Source organism: Homo sapiens, chromosome Y (genome assembly GCF_000001405.40).
Source record: "Homo sapiens chromosome Y, GRCh38.p14 Primary Assembly".
NCBI classification, from domain to species: Eukaryota; Metazoa; Chordata; class Mammalia; order Primates; family Hominidae; genus Homo; species Homo sapiens.
Window position 1 is genome coordinate 25376300 of NC_000024.10, and position 19146 is coordinate 25395445.

A 19146-nucleotide genomic window follows, 5' to 3' on the forward strand; every position below is an offset into this window, starting at 1 on the left:
ATATGAGTGAATAAATATACATTTAGAATATATATGAACTCCCAAAAATCAACAGGAAAAATAAGACATAGAACAAGCAAAATGCATAAACAAAAGAAGGCAAAACAAAAATTATGACTCATAATTATATGAAAAGAAGCTCATCTTCATAGATGAGCAGATAAATGCAAATTAAAACCACCCTGAGATGCTTTTTACATCCATGAGCCTGATAAAAGTTAGAGTCTAAAAGTAATATTTAACAAAGATGGGAAGTAACAGAAAATCTTGTCCATTACTGGTTAAAGTATAAACTGATACAGCTAATTTATAGAATATTGCATTATAGAATAAAGTTGTGAGTATGTATACGCAGTGACTCAGCATCTTCATTGCTAATATGTACTCAAGAGAAACTTACAGGAGTGGACTAGGAAGTAAATACAAAATGATTACAACATTGTTTGTTATATCAAAAAATAAAAAAGACACCCAATTTACCAGCAAAAAAAAAATAAGTAAAAATAAATCCTGGTGTATTCTAACAATGGAATAGTATATAGCCATTAAAATAAATCAACTATTACTGTACATATGAATGTAAGTATCAGCAAAACATATTGTTTAGTGAAAAAGTAAGAAGCTGAAGAAGAATATATACAATATGGTTACATTTATATGAAGTCCAAAAACTTGCAAAATAAAGAAATGTATTTAGAAATAGATTCACATGTGAGAAAACTAGAAGAAAATTAATGAAAGGATAAAAGGGATAGCAGTAATTCTGAGTAGTTGAGGGGATTTCAATTGGAAAAAAATAGTATCATATTCTTTAAGTCAGGTAGTGGGTATTAGCATTTGTTTTACCATCGTTCTTTATTCTTATAGCTACATTATGTATTTTCTATGTATTTAATGTATTTTTTGCATAATTAAATATTATGCGATAAAAATGAGAAAACAAAAAAGTAGAAAATGATAAATAACATACAATAAAGAAATGGAGAAAAAATTATAATCTAGTTGAGTAATGGTATATTACATAGCTATTTTCTTAAGTAGATGTATGTACATGATGTATGCATGATTGTACATACATGTTCTTAATTATATATAAATATATATGTACATATTTTTAATATAAAATACTAAACAAAGTACACCAAAATATTAGCTCCTATGTTAGTGAGATAATGTTTTTTTTTTGTATTTTAAGTTTTACATAGTAGGTGTATTTGTCTGTTTTCATACTGCTATAAAGAACTGCCCAAGACTGGGTAATTTATAAAGGAAAGAAGTTTAATTGGCTCACAGTTCAGTACAGCTTGGGAGGCCTCAGGAAATCCACAATCATGGCGGAAGACAAAGAGGAAGCAAGGTAGCTTCTTTGCAAGGCAGCATGAAGAAGTGCTGAGCAAAGGGGAAAGAATCCCTTATAAAATCATCAAATCTCGTGAGAACTCACTATCACAAGAACAGCACAGGGGAAACTGCCCCCATGATTCAATTACCTCCACCTGGTCTCTCCCTTGACATGTGGGGATTATGGGGGCTATGGGGATTACAATTCAAGATGAGATTCAGGTGGGGATACAAAGCCTAACCATATCAGTAGGCAAGTGTTGAATTTTAAACTCAGAGAAAAATACTAGTGTTTTTATAGGATTCTTACTAAAGAAAAACGAGAAAGTAATAAACCATCTATGCTAAGACATAAAATTCAGTTGTTTAGTTACAAGATAGAATGTGGCCTTGTAAGAAAGCAAATTAACTTCTAACATACAAAGCCTTAGAGAAGATTCAAGTGACTGACGGATCTTAAACAGAGCTATTATTACAACTCAAACTGCAGTAAAATATCCTAAGCAACATAGATGTGTGTGTTTCCCTAGTCAGAGCAATACAAATTTAATGAAACTCCATTGGTGGTGTTTTTAATCAGACAATTTCTGAAGATGTCCTGGCTTATTCATAGACGCAAGCCAAATCTCTAGAAGAGTACCATAATAAGAAAAAAAAAAGAATACAGGCAATTGAGAGCTGTTCCAAAGTTTAGGGAGTATTTGTAAGGAATTAATAAATAAAAATGTTCTTGAAAGAGAGAAATTAATATGCAGTTCATACTGCCAGAATTGCAGGCAATTTATCAAAGTCCCCTAATCCTCCAAAATCGCTAATTTTTTCTGACACACACTTTACAGTACAGAAGAAAATGTCTCCGGCAATAAATCACAAAGTTAAAATTACCTAGTCTACAATTAACTAGACAGTGATGGTAAATCATTTTCTACCAAAAGAAAGAAATGTCTTGTCTATTCAGGTTCTGCTCTACTTAAAAGTTTTCCTTGTTGGCGAGCAAGTGGTTAGAAAATCATATTTTATACTTACATTCAGCTTAACTATCATTCAGTTCAAGATGATGACTCAGGGCCTTATCCATACCTTCAAGTTTGCTCTTAGCAAGTAATTGTTTCAGTATCTATATCAAAAATGGCTTAAGCCTGCAACATGTTTCTGAATGATTAACAAGGTGATAGTCAGTTCTTCATTGAATCCTGGATGCTTTATTTTTCTTAATAAGAGGAATTCATATGGATCAGCTAGAAAAAAAATTAAGAGGAAAATCACATGGAAAGTTATTAAATATTATATATATATTATATATAATATTATATATTATATATCATTTCCAAATTCCCCAGCGTTCATGTTTGTCAGTGCAAGTAAAGAGCCTTAGTGCTGATTAGGTTTGAGGTATGACCATTTGGCCAGAATTTATGAACTCTACATGTCGCTTGATATGTGCTTCAGGGTACACTTTTTTTTTTTTTTTTTTTTTTTTTTTGAGACGGAGTCTTGTTCTGTCACCCAGGCTGGAGTGCAGCAGTGTGATCTCAGCTCACCGCAAGCTCCGTCTCCCGGGTTCATGCCATTCTCCTGCCTCAGCCTCCTGAGTAGCTGGGACTACAGGTGCCCACCACTATGCCCTGCTAATTTTTTGTATTTTTAGTACAGACGGGGTTTCACCCTGTTAGCCAGGATGGTCTCTATCTCCTGATCTCGTGATCCACCCACCTCAGCCTCCCAAAGTGCTGGAATTACGGGCGTGAGCGACCACGCCCCGCCAGGGTACACTTTTAAGCAGAGACACTATTTTGAAGGTCATAAAAAATATAATAAGATATAAGGCTAATTTCCTTTAATAATAATAATAATAAATTCCTTTAATAAAAATACAAAGGAATAATATAATAATTTTCTTTAATAAAATATAATAAGAGATAAGGCTAATTTCCTTTAATAAAATATAGTAACTACATACCAACACAGAATTCCAAAAAAACGAAATGGAGAGGAAGACAGCATGGGTCATTAATCTTGTCAAAAATATAAAATTATATACGAGGAATTCCTAGAAACTGTTTTCCTTGTCTGCGGCCATTGTGCTGCTGCTAGACAACTACCGCAAGCAGCCCTTCATGCCCTCCTCCCAGTACAAAGCTAATTGATTTGTGAGAAATGTTAAGCTTGGAAGAGTCAGCAACGCTGCACTTATTTTTTATTCTACTCTGACATTAGAATAATTCTTGAGTGGGGGAAGGGTTAAAACCCCCCCTGGATAAGTGTTACTAATTAATGATGATTGTTTTAAACAATGTTTGGATAATTTTTCCTTTTCCCTTGACATAAACTTGATAAATAACTGAGAAGTGAGAAGGAGATTAGTGGGTTGATTAAATTCCATCAGGTACTTAAAGTTAGCTCCAAAAATTTAGCTATTTATAAATTGTCATACATTGTTAATGTATAAGAGATGTAGATTTCATTTATCTTTGGTGGAGCGAGATGAAGCAGTGAATCATTGAAGACTGAAAGAAAGAAAAAGGTCTTTTCCCTTTTCTTTAAGAAGCATCGTTAGTTAAAAATATGTTAGTTGATACCAGAGAACTATATTTAAAGGGTCAGCAATAAGCAAATTGATTACTCTGGTGATTATTGGAGTGACATTGCCTTTTAGTTGTACTTTCACAAAAATTCACAATATTTGCCAAAGTCAAGTTATCCATTACACTATTAATTTGTCATTCTTTTGTTTATATAGTCAATATCTCTATCTCAATTGGATCTATCTCAACTGCTTCTAAACAAGCCACCATAGTCTCTCCCATTTCAACAATCTCTTCCAAGTACCATTTCATTTCTTCTTTTCATATTTTTGAAAACTTTTGTAAAACTACCTATTTTCCTCCTCCATTTCTTGTTCATTCCATTCTAGTGGACATGGAATCTGTTCCTCCTCCAAAACGGAATTTGGTAACCTTTAAATTACTAAACCCAAAACAATATGTTGTTTTTATCTTTACCTCTCTGTGGCATTTAATGATAAGACCACTACTTTCTTCTCTTTTACCCTTCTTTCTTGAATTCAGTCAAACAATGTACTTACATTTTTCATCTTATTCTCCATCTTAGAAACCACCTCAGCTTTCTCCATTCAGCCATAAAATTGTGCTTTTCCTCAAAGATTAATCTGCCTCTCCTTTCACTCTATACTATCTCTGTTAGCTAATTTTATTTGTGCACATTGCTTATACTGGGCATTATATACACATATGCATGTGTGTACATGTGCACACACACACTGTATGTGGACATGTATATATATGTGTGTGTGTATATATATATTATATATATAAATTACAATAACATAAAGGTGGCATTTTAAATTAGTGGAAATTACCCTGATTTGATCACTACACATTCTATACATGTAAAGAAATATCACTCTGTATCCCAAGAATATGTACAATTATGGTTTGTCAAGTGAAAAAGTTCATACCTTGAAAAATTTTAGATAAATATCAAACTTTCTCTGAAACCATAACTGTAAAATGTAAAAAACAGTAATTGCTATATTGCTTATTTCTGAGTAGAAGAATATGAGACATTTCCCTAATCATTAGGTGTAATTACAATTACATATATATGTATGTTATTTATATATTTATGACATACATACATATATATGTAATTGTAATTACACCTAATGATTAGGGAAATGTCTCATATTCTATATATATAGACAGAAAGAGAGAAAATACATGAGGTAGAGAAAGAATATTTCCATCTCCTTTGAGTTCCACGGTGTTGAGAGTCAGGACAACTACAATTGCTTCATCATGCCTGCTCGCAATTATAGGGCTTTTGAACCATTTGTTCCCTCCTTAGATATCCTCATTTTTTTCAGATTCTTGCTTAGAAGTCACTCCTCCGTGGACCTCCTCTGACATATTAAACATTGCAGTCCATTATAAGCTGCAAGAGGACAGGGATTTTTGCCTGTTTTATTCCCTACTGTATCACCAGGGGCTACAGCAATATCTGACAAACAGTGGGCATGTAATGAATATTTGTTAAGTGAAGTAATAAATTCAATCAAATCACATCACCTGTTTAAAGCACTTCATTGGCTTCACATTGCACTTAGAATAAAGAGAAATTCTTTTTATACAATATAAGTTCCTGCAGAATGGAGACACTTTCTACTTCTCCAGCCTCTTTTCAACTCCTCTCCTACTAGCTTCTGTATTTAAGCCACATTAGACCTTTCTTCAGTTTTTTATATAGACTTTGTTGCATCACACCTCAGAGATTCTGTACATGTTCTTCCTCCTGCCTAGAAAGGATCGTCCCTCCACTTTCGCCAACTAATCCCTGCTCAACTTTTCATCTCAGCAGGAGGCCCATTCTCTTTGGCAATACTCTGGCCTCCAGCCCATTTATTACATGCTCACATGTCATCATGTACTTCGTACAGCATGTAACACAATTGCACTTTTATATTTTAACAAATTATTTTCCCATATTGAACTGTAAGTCTCCTGAAAGGAGGAATTTTGTTCTTGCTCATCATCAACTTTTTCAACATCCAGTGCACCATTTAGAACTTAGATGTAGTCAATACAGGTTTGTGGAATGAAAGAGGAAAAGAAAGAATTAATATTCCTTTAAATTAGGATTGCAAAGATCGTATATAGAAAATTGGCTAAGTTGTGGTCCATTCATGTTTGCTCCCAATTAAGGAGCACAGCTATGAAAAGGAAGGCTTCAAATTAATAACCAATAGATTTTTTAAAAAAGAAAACTGGCCAGGTACTGTGGCTTATGTCTGTAATATCAGCATGTTGGGAGGCCAAGGCAGGATTACTTGAGCCCAGAAATTCCAGACCAGCCTGAGAATTTGGCAAAACTCTGTCTCTACAAAAAATACAAAAATTAGCCAAATTTGGTGGCATGTGCCTGTAGTACCAGCTACTTGGGAGGCTAGGTTGAAGAATAGCTTGAGTCTGGGAGGTCAAGGCTGCAATGAGCTGTGATCGCACCACTGCACTCAAGCCTGGGTGGTAGAGTAAGACCCTGTCTCAAAAAAAAAAAAAAAAAAAGAAAAATTACTAAGCAAAATAAGACATGTGAAGGATCATGTCAAAGGTAAGAAAAATTAGGGGAACATTAAAAGCTTTCTTCCCAAGCCACTAAATCAACTTGACTAAAAAAATTACCACTTGATTTAGCATTAGAAAATTACATTACATATCAAACATAAACCCATTAATCAAATACTAAAGAAATTTCTGAGTTAAATGGTATAATGTTAGCTTATGCCGGAGCTGACCTTGAAAGATTGTTCAAATATGGCTCAGTGTGATTGAAAGTTCTGTGTGAATATGTTTTTGGAAAGATCCAATAGCAACATCTTAGTGTATGTTTTTGAAATAAAATGTATCTGAGTAGCAGCAAAGTTATTCTTAAATTTCCATTTTATAGCTGGAGATGTTATACCGTGACATATATGATAGGACCCAATATGGATTAATCCCTTTTAGAAGTCAATCAGGAAGAGAGGAGCAGTTAAAACAGTTGCTTCATTTACAAACATTAGAACAATTTTCTTATTCACACCATCTGATTATTGTATTTTATTTTTTCCCCAATGTTTATACTACACAATGAGTTAAGAATGATAAAAATAAGCTCACCAATATACTAGGTACATATTTACCAAAATCTGTGCATGCCTATACATATAAACACAGCTGATAATTTATTAGTTAGGCTCATTTGTAATTTTTGTCACTATAGACCAGTTTTTTATTTAAATTGAAGATTAGTATACATTTTAAATGATTAGTCAAAATAAAAAATCTAAAATGTGCTCTAAATACTTCTTAGGTCAGAAAAAAAAAAGTCAAAAGCTAGAATATAGAGAAATTAAGAAATGCCCTAAATTTCTAACCTGACAAAAATTCATACAAGAGTTAAATATTTTAATGGAAAATAGAACAGAACTAATCATGGAAGAAATTATAGAAAGGAAACAAAATAAACAGATTATATGGAGGATTTTTAGAAGATAAGTAAATAAATTAATATACTAGGAAAAAACAAGGGAAATATAATTGATAAATACAGGTAAGAGTTCTTTTGAAATAATGATAAAATAGAAAATCTCTGTCAAAACTAAAAGGAAAGATGCATAAATATATAAATAAATGATAAAAAGATGTTGCATACATATATGACTTTTTCAGAATCAAAAAAATTAAATTTCTGTAATAAAATTTAAATGTTTATAAATTTAAAAAACTAGAAGAAAGAATGTTGACTGTTCACAATACAAATAAATGACAAATATTTGAGGTGATGGATATGCTAATTATCCTTATTTGATCATTGGACATTGTATACATGTATCAAAATATCACTCTGTATCCCATGAATATGTACAATTATTTGTCTCAAAAACAAACAAAAAAAAAGATAATGGGAGAATGTTGAAAACTCAGAGAGAAGAGCAACTGTCACAGATAGGGATCCAGATAACATTAGCAGCTGATTTCTCAGCAGAAACCTTGAAGGCCAGTAGGCAGTGGATTATATATTTAAAATAATGAAGAAACCTGTCAATTGAGAAATCTATAGCTGGAAAACTTATCCTTCAAAAATGAAGGAGAAATTAAGACATTTCCGGATTTTTTTTTTAAACTGAAAAAAATCCATTTATCCCTGAATTTGCCATTCAAGAAGTGTTAAGTCCTTCAGGTTGAAATAAATGAACTCTAGGCAATAACTATATAAGTAAATAAGCAAGCTGTGTGAATATACAAAGCTCTCTGGTAAAGGTAAATACATAAACAAACATAAAAACAGTCCTATTGTTATTTTGGTTTGCAACTCTGCTTTTTATTTTCTACATAATTTAAAAGGCAAATGCATAAAATGTAATTGTAAATCTGTTAGCTGGTATACAATGAATAAAGATATAATTTGTTACATCAATAACATAAAAAGAGTAGAGCTATATATATAGCAGTCGAATTTTGGAATGCGATTGAACTTAAGTTGAAATAAATTCAAATTAAAATGTTATAACTCTAGGATGTAATTCTCATAGTAACCAAAAATGAAATATACATAGAATATAAACAAAAGGAAATGAGACTAGAAACAAAATGTGTCACTACAAAAAAATCAACTAAAGATAAAAAAGAAATAATTGAGAAAATGATTGGCAAAAATCAGTAACTCTGATGTATTAAAACTTTCCATGCTACATAAAACTGAAAACTCTATTTCACATAAAACTGGAGCTGAAAGAGACAAATATTTACCTATAAAGTTAAAAGTTATATAGGGAACAAACACTAATTTTTTTTAGAAAAAATTATAAAAAGAGTAAAAATATGCCTTATACTACCATAATTTCATGTTTTACAGCTCTGGGAAAATAGAAAATAAAATGTTCTGTTAGCATGAATCCCTCTGTGACCCCAAAAAACCCTATGGATTGCATCATTATTACCTAAAAAGTCTATTCTCAAATGCAGCAGAGTGATTTTTTTACAAGGTAGATATTAATTTTAGATATGGAATAATATTGGTGATTTCAATTTTATAACACTGGGTTAAGATGAAAGAATGAGAAGTTAAAGGTCCCTCAGCAATATAACCCACAAACATGTTCAGAAGCAGTAAGAAGTTACATTAATTATCTTTTGAAAGTCGATAATCTACATCTTTAATGTATGCATATAGCATAGCTAATGTACTATCACTGGGTCCATTTATTCAATGAATAATTGCTGCTATGTGTCAGACATTTTTCTAGGCCTAGGAATGGATACATAAGTGAACAAAGCAAAGATTCTGGTTCTTGTAGAGTTTCCATTAAAAGACCATTTAGTAAAACTTTTCTTCCCCCAAATTATAAAATCTGTAAGATGATTTAACAACATGTGTAAAAGTCATTGTGGGCCAGGCACGGTGGCTCATACCAGATGTGGTGACTCATAGCAGTCTGTCACCCAGGCTGGAGTGCAGTGGCACAATCTCTGCTCACTGCAACTTCTGCCTCCTGGGTACAAGCGATTCTCCTGCCTCAGCTTTCTGAGTAGCAAGGACTACAGGTGCACACCATCACGCCTGGCTAATTTTTGTACTATTAGTACAGACGGAGTTTCACCATGTTGGCCAGGCTGGTCTCGAACTCCTGACCTCAAATGATCCGCCCACCTCGACCTCCTAAAGTGCTGGAATTACAGATGTGAGCCACAATGCCTGGCCTTATTTTCTACAACTTTGGTAACTTTAGCATATACCCCAAATCTGTAAGACATAATATTATAATTCAAATGCAACTCATGGCTTCTCATTGTACTCTTTCTCTAGCTTTTGAATTATTTATTCTAATATCAGTTTTAATTCTGACACAATAGCATGGGAGTTCTAATCAAAATCCAACCTTTTATCATAAAAACTATGAAGAAATTATGAGTAGAATTTAAAAAGGAAAATAGGCCTATTAATTAGATTTGTCTTTGTAGCATTTAACTCTATAATAAATAATATTTTATGCCTATGAGTCCCCAACAAAGCCTCCAGCTTCTATTTAGATATAAAACGTAAAAGTCACTACTGGATCCACAAGCAAGACTATGGTAAAGAAATTTCTCCACCTAACCAGCTTCTTTTACATGATGTTACATGTTTCTTTTGTTTTTTTCATTTTGGCAAATATTGATTGTCATCTTCGTGTTTGTCTATGTCCTAAGTGCTGGGATACAGAATCTGAAAACATGGACACAGGACCTGCCTTCAAGTTCACCCTTTCTTTTTTTTTTTTTTTTTTTTTTTTTTTGAGATGGAGTTTTGCTCTTGTCACCCAGGCTGGAGTGTAATGGTGAGCTCTCTGCTCACTGCAACCTCCACCTCCAGGGTTCAAGTGATTCTCCTGCCTCAGCCTCCCAAGTAGCTGGGATTACAGGTCCCAGCCACCACGCCTAGCTAATTTTTGTATTTTTAGTAGAGACAGCGTTTCATCATGTTGGTCAGGCTGGTCTCGAACTCCTAACCTCAGGTAGTCGACCCACCTCGGCCTCCCACAGTGCTGAGATTACAGGCATGAGCCACCACGCCCTGCTAGGAGTTCACACTTTAGTTGGGGAAAATATACAATAAGCAAGCCAATTTTTAAAATGAGAACTGCAATTAGAGTTAAATGCTACAAAGACAATCTCACAGGAAGATGGGATGCAGAATGATAAGGCTTTCAGAATAGTAAGAGAAATTATTGTTTCTTACGATGTTTGTCTTTCTTTGTATCAGTGCTCAGCTGAGTCTGCAGTGCTTCAGAGGCAGCTTTCATTTTATAAAAATCTATGATTTCTCCTTCCAGTTGTTTTTTCTCTTCCTCGAGCTTCCTTATCTCCTCCTGCTGAATCATTTTAAGATGCTCGAACTTGTCCTGCAGCTGTGAAACCAATGTGCAGTTGTGACACCAAAGCAGTGTGGCTGAACACCCAAAAGAATATGCTTTTTTCTGATTATCAAACAAACCCAAATCATCACAGTAGAGCATGATCTTACTAATAATCTCAAAAACTCAGGAGTAAACACTCAGATATGGAATTTTTCTTTTCTTTCTTTTTTCCTTTTATAAGATGGAGTCTCACTCTGTTGCCCAGGCTGGAGTGCACTGGTGCGATCTCAGCTCACTGCAACCCCCATCTCCCAGTTCAAGTGATTCTCCTGCCTCAGCCTCTTGAGTAGCTGGGACTACAGGCATGCACCACCACTACAGGCGTGTGCCACCACACCTGGCTAATTTTTGTATTTTTAGTAGAAATGGGGTTTTGCCATGTTGGCCAGTCTGGTCTTGAACTCCTGACCTCAGGTGATCCTCCCACTTTGGCCTCCCAAAGACTTTTTTTCTTTTTTAATATAGAGACAAGTTCTCAGTATATTGTCCAGGCTGGTCTCAAACTCCTGAGCTCAAGTGATCCTCCCACCTCAGCTTCCCAAAGTGCTGGGACTGACTGGATGCAGTGGCTCATGCTTGTAAACTCAGCACTTTGGGAGGCCAAGGTGGGAGGATCGCTTGAGCCCAGGAGTTCAGGACCAGACTGGGTGATATAACACAATAGTAAACTTCAACAGGAGAGAGAATCTGTAAACTTGAATATAGATCTTCTGAAATTATCCAGTCAGAGGATAAAGAAAAAAAGAATAAAAAAGAGAAAAGAAGGCTGGGCATGGTGGCTCAAGCCTGTAATCCCAACACTTTGGTAGGCCAAGGCAGGCAGATTAAGAGGTCAGGAGTTCAAGACCAGCCTGGCCAACATGACAAAACCCCATCTCTACTAAAAATACAAAAATAAGCCGTGTGTGGTGGCACATACCTGTAGTCCCAGCTACTTGGGAGGCTGAGTCAGGAGAATCGCTTGAACCCAGGAGGCAGAGGTTGGAGTGCAATGTGAGCCAAGACCACACATTGCACTCCAGCCTGGGTGACAGAGCAAGACTCTGTCTCAAAAAAAAAAAAAAAGAAAAAAGAAAAAAGAAAATAAAAGAGACAGAGAAAAGAAAGCCCACAAGACACCATTAGGCAAACCATTGTCAGGTTATGGGAGTTTGAGAAGGAAAGTAGAGAAAGGACAAGAAAGCTTATTTAAAGAATGGCTGAAAACTGCCTAAATCATAGGAAAGATTTAGACATCTAAACCCATGAAGCTTAAAGATTCCTAAAGAGGTTCAAACCAAATAGATACTCACCAAGTCACAATATAATCAAATAGTCAAAAGTTAAAGAAACTTTGCAGGTCAGGACAGAATCGAATAATACATTCAAAGTGCTGAAAGAAAAAAACTGCCAGCAACTAATACTATGTCTGACAAAGCTGTCCTTCAGATAGAAAGAAGAAATAACATGTTTCCTCGACAAACAAAGCTGAGGGCATTCAGGACCACTAGGTCTACCTTAAAAAAAATGCTTAACGGAGTTTTTCAAGTAAAAATGAATGAAGTTAGGAGCGGTGGCTCATGCCTGTAATCCCATTTTGGGAGGCCGAGGTGGGTGGATCACCCGAGGTCAGGAGGTCAAGACCAGCCTGGCCAACATGGCAAAACCCCACCTCCAGTAAAAATACAACAAATCGCCAGGTATGAAGGCCACTGAGATCGTGCCACTGCACTCCAGCCTGGGTGACAAGAGTCAAACTACATTTCAAAAACAAAAAACAAAACAAACAAAAAAACAAAACTTGAGGTCTGTCCTTCTGCTCCTCTCCAACCCCCCCTTCTCTGGGCCCAAGCCACCTTGGCTGAGGAGGGGGCAAGGAGGTGTGGGCCCCTGCCAGGAACCCTGTGCCCAGACCAAGTACTCAGCCCCCAGGCCTGCGTTCAGTGAGGCCTCCCGTGGCGTCAGCATGTTCGTGTGGAGCAATGTGGAAGGTCACTCTGTGGCCATGTTCCCCTGGTACTCCATCCCCTTCCTGAACCCTCCCTGCAGCCACACGAGGCCCAGCAACCTGCCAGTCACTCAGTGGCCTCCAACCAGAGAAAACAACCTGCCAAGTTGGCAGCTGTTGCTCACGAGCATCCACCAGGTGGGACAGGGAGTGTTGACCCTGGGCGGCCCCCTGGAGCCACCTGCCCTGAAAGCCCAGGGCCCGCAACCCCACACACTTTGGGGGTGGTGGAACCTGGTAAAAGCTCATCTCCCACCATGGAGGAGGAGCCCTGGGCCCCTCAGGGGAGTCCCTGCTGGACAGTGAGACAGAGAATGACCATGATGATGCTTTCCTCTCCATCATGTCTCCTGACACCCAGTTGCCTCTACCACTCAGATGATGTCAGGCCCAGTTCCTCAGTGCCCTGCACAAGGAACAGGGCTCATCTTCTGAGAAGGATGGACGCAGCCCCAACAAATGGGACAAGGACCACATCCGGTGTCCCATGAGTGGCGGTCATGATCTTCAGCAAGCGGCACCAGGCCCTGGCAGGGCACACCAGGGTCACCCCAACCAGGATAACTGGACCGTCAGCCAGATGCTGAGCAAGTGGTGGTACACCCTGGGGCCCAATGAGAGGCAGAAATACCATGAACTGGCCTTCCAGGTGAAGGTGGCCCACTTGCAATAAGGACTGAAAGAAGTTCAGCTCAGAGGCCAAGCCCACAAGCCAGGGGCTAGCAGGAGTGTAACAAAGGCTCGTGGGAGTGGAGCATGTCAGAGACTGGCACTGCCACTGCCCCTGGGGTGTCCTCTGAACTCCTGTCAGTTGCAGCCCAAACACTCCAGAGCTCGGATACCAAGGAGCAGCTTCTGTGGGGCAGAATGGCTGCACACAGTCAGGGAACCTGGCTCAGCCTGGCCCAAGCCTTCTCCCACAGGGGGGTACACAGCCTGGATGGCAGGGAAATAGACCATCAGGCACTACAGGAACTGACACAGGTGGTATCTGGCACTGCATCATACTCTGGCCCAAAGCCTTCTACTCAGTATGGAGCTCCAGGCCACTTTGCAGCCCCTGGTGAGGGAGGTGACCAGTGGGCAGCCCTGCTGCTGCCCACCTGAGCTGGTCATTCCCAGCACATGGCCAGTGAGGACATAGCGAGTGACAAGGAGCACACGGTCATCCATGAGGAATAGGGTGTGATGATGTCATTGCTGATGATGGCTTTAGCACCACTGACACTGATCTCAAGTTCAAGGAGTGGGTGACCGACTGAGAGTGGGGACAACTCTGGGGAGGAGCCAGAGGGCAACAAGGGCTTTAGTGGGAAGGTATTTGCACCTGTCATTCCTTCCTCCTTTACTCCTGCTGCCCCTTGCTGGATCCTGAGCCCCCAGGGTCCCCCGATCCACCTGCAGCTTTTGGCAAAGTCTATGGTCCCACCCTGTCCTCCTCCTACACATACTCGGATGCTTCCTCCTCAATCTTGGCACCCACCTCCTTCTTACTGGGCCCAGGAGCCTTCAAAGCCCAGGAGTCTGGTCAAGGCAGCAGAGCGGGCCCCCTACAGCCCCTACCCCTGGGGATGTGGACCCAGGGATGCCTTCCAAGGTGACCTGTTTCCTCCCAATGGATCCTTCCACCTTCTGGTGCAAGAGACCTGAAAGTGTGGGTGACCTGGAGCTACCAGGCTCCTCAGTCATCAGGGTCCCTCCCAACACTAAGGCTTTCCTAGGCAGGAGCTGGGCTGAGCCACCTGGGGGGCAGAGCCTGAAGAGAAACTGACTGGGCTTTTGGGGTCGGGGAAGAGGGAACCCCACAGACATGGATCCCACACTGGAGGACCCCACCACACCCAAATGCAAGATGAGAAGATGCTCCAGCTGCAGCCCAAAGCCCAACACCCCCAAGTGTGCCATGTGTGATGGGGACAGCTTCCCCTTTGCCTGTACAGTTGGAGAAGCCAAGGACAGGCTCAGGGAACTGGAGACCGAGTAGGCGCTGTCCTCTTCACTGCACGCGCCCTGGACCAGTGCCAGCCCTGATCATGCAGCATTTCCAGGCCCCCTTCTTCTTCCTGTCCACTAGGCCACAGCCGCCCTCCAGGCCCACTATGTACACATCTTCCCCTCCAAGGTTTGTTCTGCCCCTGCCCTGACTCCCAGCCCTGTGGGGGTCCTGACCACACCTCACCTGGCTCAGACTCTTGACGCTGCCCTGGCTGCCCCACCACTGCCTCTGCCTGAGAGTCACATGAGGCTGAGAGTAGGGGCAGGGGCAGCAGTGGTGCCAGTTGGGGGGTGGTCCAGTGGGAGGAGCCTCAGCCTTGTGGGCTGCTCCATGGGACTGATGACTGCATGATCTTCTGGGCACCTCATGGATCTTCAACTGCAGGTGAAACAGATGCTGGTGGTGGCTGCAGGGCCGCTGGGAGCTGCTGCATGGGTCCCAGAGGCTGGACTGGGGCAGGTGCCAACTGAAGCTGCTGGGGCAGCAAGGGCAGGATGTTCTGCACACAAACCTTGGAAAAGAAGGTGTGTGCATAGCGGGTCCACTGCTGCTGCCCCTGCCCTGACTCCCAGCCCTGCCTGACCCCACCTCACCCTGCTTAGGCTCTGGCGCAACCCTGGCTGCCCTGCCACTGCCTCTGCCCCAGAGTTGGGGCCTTGACAGCCTGGCTGGAAGGGGACACCCTAGCCTTGCCTCAACACCTGGGGGTCTCCATAACTACCACAGGCAGGTAGGCGACCCCAAAGAAGATCCCAGGACTCACAGTACAACCTGAGAACATGGACAGTATGTGGGGGTAGCAATGGAGGGCAAGATGGTTATCTTCTCCCAGGTAAAGAGATTTAATCCTTTCAGTTTGGGATGGAATAAGGCCTGTCTCTTTTTTTTTTTTTTTTTTTTTTTGAGACGGAGTCTTGCTCTGTCGCACAGGCTGGAGTGCAGTGGTGCGATCTTGGCTCACTGCAACCTCTTCCTGCCGGGTTCACGCCATTCTCCTGCCTCAGCCTTCCGGGTAGCTAGGGTTACAGGTGCACGCTACCACGTCTGGCTAATTTTTGTATTTTTAGTACAGACGGGGCTTCATCATCTTGGCCAGGCTGAGTTCGATCACCTTACATCATGAACTGCCTGCCTCCACCTCCCAAAGTGCTGGGATTACAGGCATGAGCCACCACGCCTGGCCAAGGCCTGCTCCTCTTATCTATACCCCCTACCCCTGCAGCTGTGCCAGGGGAAAGCTGGGCAGTTTCCCTCCTCCGAGCCCCTGTACATTCCATGAATTGTGGGACCTTCACAGCTTTTCACTTTTCAGAAAATAGTTCCTGCTGGGGCTACAAGATGGAGTGTGAAGAGGGCTTTGGGCCACAGGGAGGCGACTGTGGACTAGGGGGAGTTCATGCACCCCTTCTTTCCCCAGAGGGGCTGGACTCAGGTGAGTATGGGGGTGGGGGCTCCTGCACTTCGACACAGGCGGCAGGAGGGTTTTCTCCCCATTCCCTCTGCACTCCCAACTTGAGCTGTACTTTTTAAGAAAGTGATTCACCCTGCCTTTGCCCCCTTCCCCAGAACAGAACACGTTGATCATGGGCGATATTTTTCATTGTGCCAAAAAGTTGCCATGACCATCATTAAACCTGTTTAACACCAAATAATAAGGAAAATAAAATAAAAAATTCAGGCTTGGTGCAGAAACTCACTCCAAATAAATTACCTACCAAAATATTTATATAATGGTGGAAATATTCCAAAATTCCATATTTTGGGATTTATACACAAAAGATAAACAAATTAGAGGCCAAGAGGCTGCCGGAAGGGAAAAACGGGGCCTGGAAAGGCCGCTGTGAGGAATGAGCTGGGCCTAAAGAGGCCACTGGCAGGCAGGAGCTGGACCTGCTGAAGTGGCCGAAAGGCAGGAGCTTTGGACCGGGGAGGCCGCAGTGAGGCGAGAGCTAGCTGGGCTTGGAGAGTCCGCTGTGAGGCCAAGGCCGGGCCCGTGCAGGCCTTCAAGAGGCAGGAGGCCAGGCCTGCAAAGGCTGACTGGAGGTCAAGTTCGGGGCCTGAAGAGGCCGCCAAAAGTCAAAAGCAAGGCCTGGGAAGGCCGCCGAGAGCCATGAGCTGGGCTGGGCCAAAAGAGGCCACTGGGAGGCAGGAGGAGCTGGGCCTGGAGAGGCTGACTCGAGGAAGTTTTGCACCTGGAGAGGCCACCGAGAGGACGGAGCTGGGCCCAGGGAGGCTGACTTGCAGCTCTTCCAGGCCCACTTCCAGGCCGACTTGAGGAAGACTTGGGCCTGCAGAGGCAGCCAGGAGGCTGGAGCTGGTCCTGGAGAGGCCAACTTCGGGACGATTTGGGCCTTCAGAGGCTACCAGGAGGCCCAAGCTGGGCCTAGAGGAGCCCACCAACCGGAGGCTGTTTGGGGCCTGCAGATGCCATTGGAGGGTAGGAGCTGAGCCTGAAGAGGCCACCGTGAGGCCTGAGCTGGGCCTGGGGAGCTTGGCTTCGGAAAGTTGTGGGCCTACCAGGGCCCCTGGGAGCTGGGCAGGAGCTGAGTCCAAAGACGTTGTTGGGAGGCCGGAGTCGGGCCTGGAGACACAGCCGGGAGGAAGAGCTGGGCCCGGAGAGGATGCCAGGAGGCTGCAAGTGGGTCTGGAGAGGCTGACTTGAGGAGGCCCGTCCTCTGCCTCCCGCATGGCGGCCTCTGTAGGCCCAGCTGTTCCTCCTGGCTGCATCTCCCAGCCCAGCTCCTGCCTCCCAGCAAACAAGCTCTTTTGGCTCAGCTCTGCCGGCCTTTGTAGACCCCGAAGTTTCTGCAACCAAGCTCTTCAGGCCCACATCCCACCTCCCAGAGGCTTGAACAGTCCCAGCTCCGGCTGGAGAAGAGCGTCTGCAGGCCCCACTGTTGCCTCCCAGGGGCGTCTCCAGGCCCAGCTCTCACCCCACTGTGGCCTCCCAGGCCCAAGTCCCTGCCTGCCTCCCAGCAGCCCGCATGTGACCCTGCTCCTCCCTCACGGTGGCCTGTTGAGGAAGGGGCTCACACTGACCTCTCTCAGTGTGGGAGGGGCCGGTGTGAGGCAAGGGCTCACGCTGACCTCTCTCAGTGTGGGAGGGGCCGGTGTGAGGCAAGGGGCTCCCGCTGACCTCTGTCAGCGTGGGAGGGGCCGGTGTGAGGCAAGGGGCTCCCGCTGACCTCTGTCAGTGTGGGAGGGGCCGATGTGAGGCAAGGGGCTCCCACTGACCTCTGTCATGCCACTGCACTCCAGCCTGGGTGACACAATGAGTCTCTGCATAAAAAAAAAAAAAAAAATTCCTGCCCTTATGACTTACTTACAGGAGACAGATAATAAACAAAACAAGTAAGTAAAATAAGTAGCATATCATATAGTGATAAGTAAAAGAAAAAGCAGGGCAGTGGGGTGGGGTGCAATGGTTTGTGCCTGTAATCCCAGCAATTTGGGAAGCTGAGGCAAGAGAATTGTTCCAACCCAGGAGTTTGAAACAAGCCAGGGCAACATAGTGAGTCGCCACCTCTACAAAAACATTTAAAAATTACCTGTGCATGGTGGTGCATGCCTGTAGTCCCAGCTACTCAGAAAGTTGAAGCAGGAAGATCACTTGAGCCCAGGAGTTCAAGGTTACAGTGAGCTATAATTGCACCACTGCATGCCAGCTTGGTGACAGAGTGAGACCCAGGATCAACACACACACACACACACACACACACACACACACACACACACACACACAGCCAACAACCAAAAAAAAAAAAGGGATGGGGACTAGGCTGACTGGGCTGGAAGGAATCACAATTTAAAATACAGTCGTCAGGAAAGACCTTACTGAGAAAGAGATAGTTAAGCAAAGACATGGAAACAGTAAGTTGTATCAGAATGTCATTAACCCTGACGCTCCAAGGGTTCGTGGGAGAGTGACGATTTTTGAAAAGTCATTGTGTCAGGACTCTTTTTGTTGTAAATGACAGGAAAATAGGCTCACCATGACTTCAGCAAGAAGGGGGAATGTATTAGTTCAAGGAATTGAAAAGTCCAGGTCAGGCTGGAGTCAGGGGTCAAACGACGTCATTGGGACACGACCTAGTTCATTGTGCATTTCTGCTTTTTCTGTGGTGGTTTATTTTCTAGTTCCATATGGAGGTAGAATGGCTATCAGCAACCCCAGGCCAACATCCTGCAGAGTTCAAACCTAGAATGGAAGAGAGAGTGCCTCTTTACCATCAGGCCAAGCAAAAGACTCAGTGCACCTTATTGGGTCACAGGCTCATCTGGGCTCATCTGAACACTTGACTATGATCGGGAACATATGGTTCTGAACGGCTGGGCTCAGTCACCTGCCTAACCCTGGAGTCACAGGGA

At 42.1% G+C, this 19146-nt stretch overlaps 3 pseudogenes across 1 annotated transcript; 1 reads left to right on the top strand and 2 right to left on the bottom strand.

The window, feature by feature from the left end:
* Positions 1-2000: 2000 nt before the first annotated feature.
* On the bottom strand, positions 2001-18420 carry SEPTIN14P23 (septin 14 pseudogene 23; annotated as a pseudogene). Its single transcript, NR_174182.1, has 3 exons — positions 18327-18420; positions 10618-10786; positions 2001-2579 (listed from the first exon to the last, which is right to left on the bottom strand). The product of NR_174182.1 is annotated as a septin 14 pseudogene 23 (transcript).
* Positions 13030-16523, top strand: CICP1 (capicua transcriptional repressor pseudogene 1; annotated as a pseudogene).
* On the bottom strand, positions 16554-17553 carry LINC00265-3P (long intergenic non-protein coding RNA 265-3, pseudogene; annotated as a pseudogene).
* Positions 18421-19146: the final 726 nt, after the last annotated feature.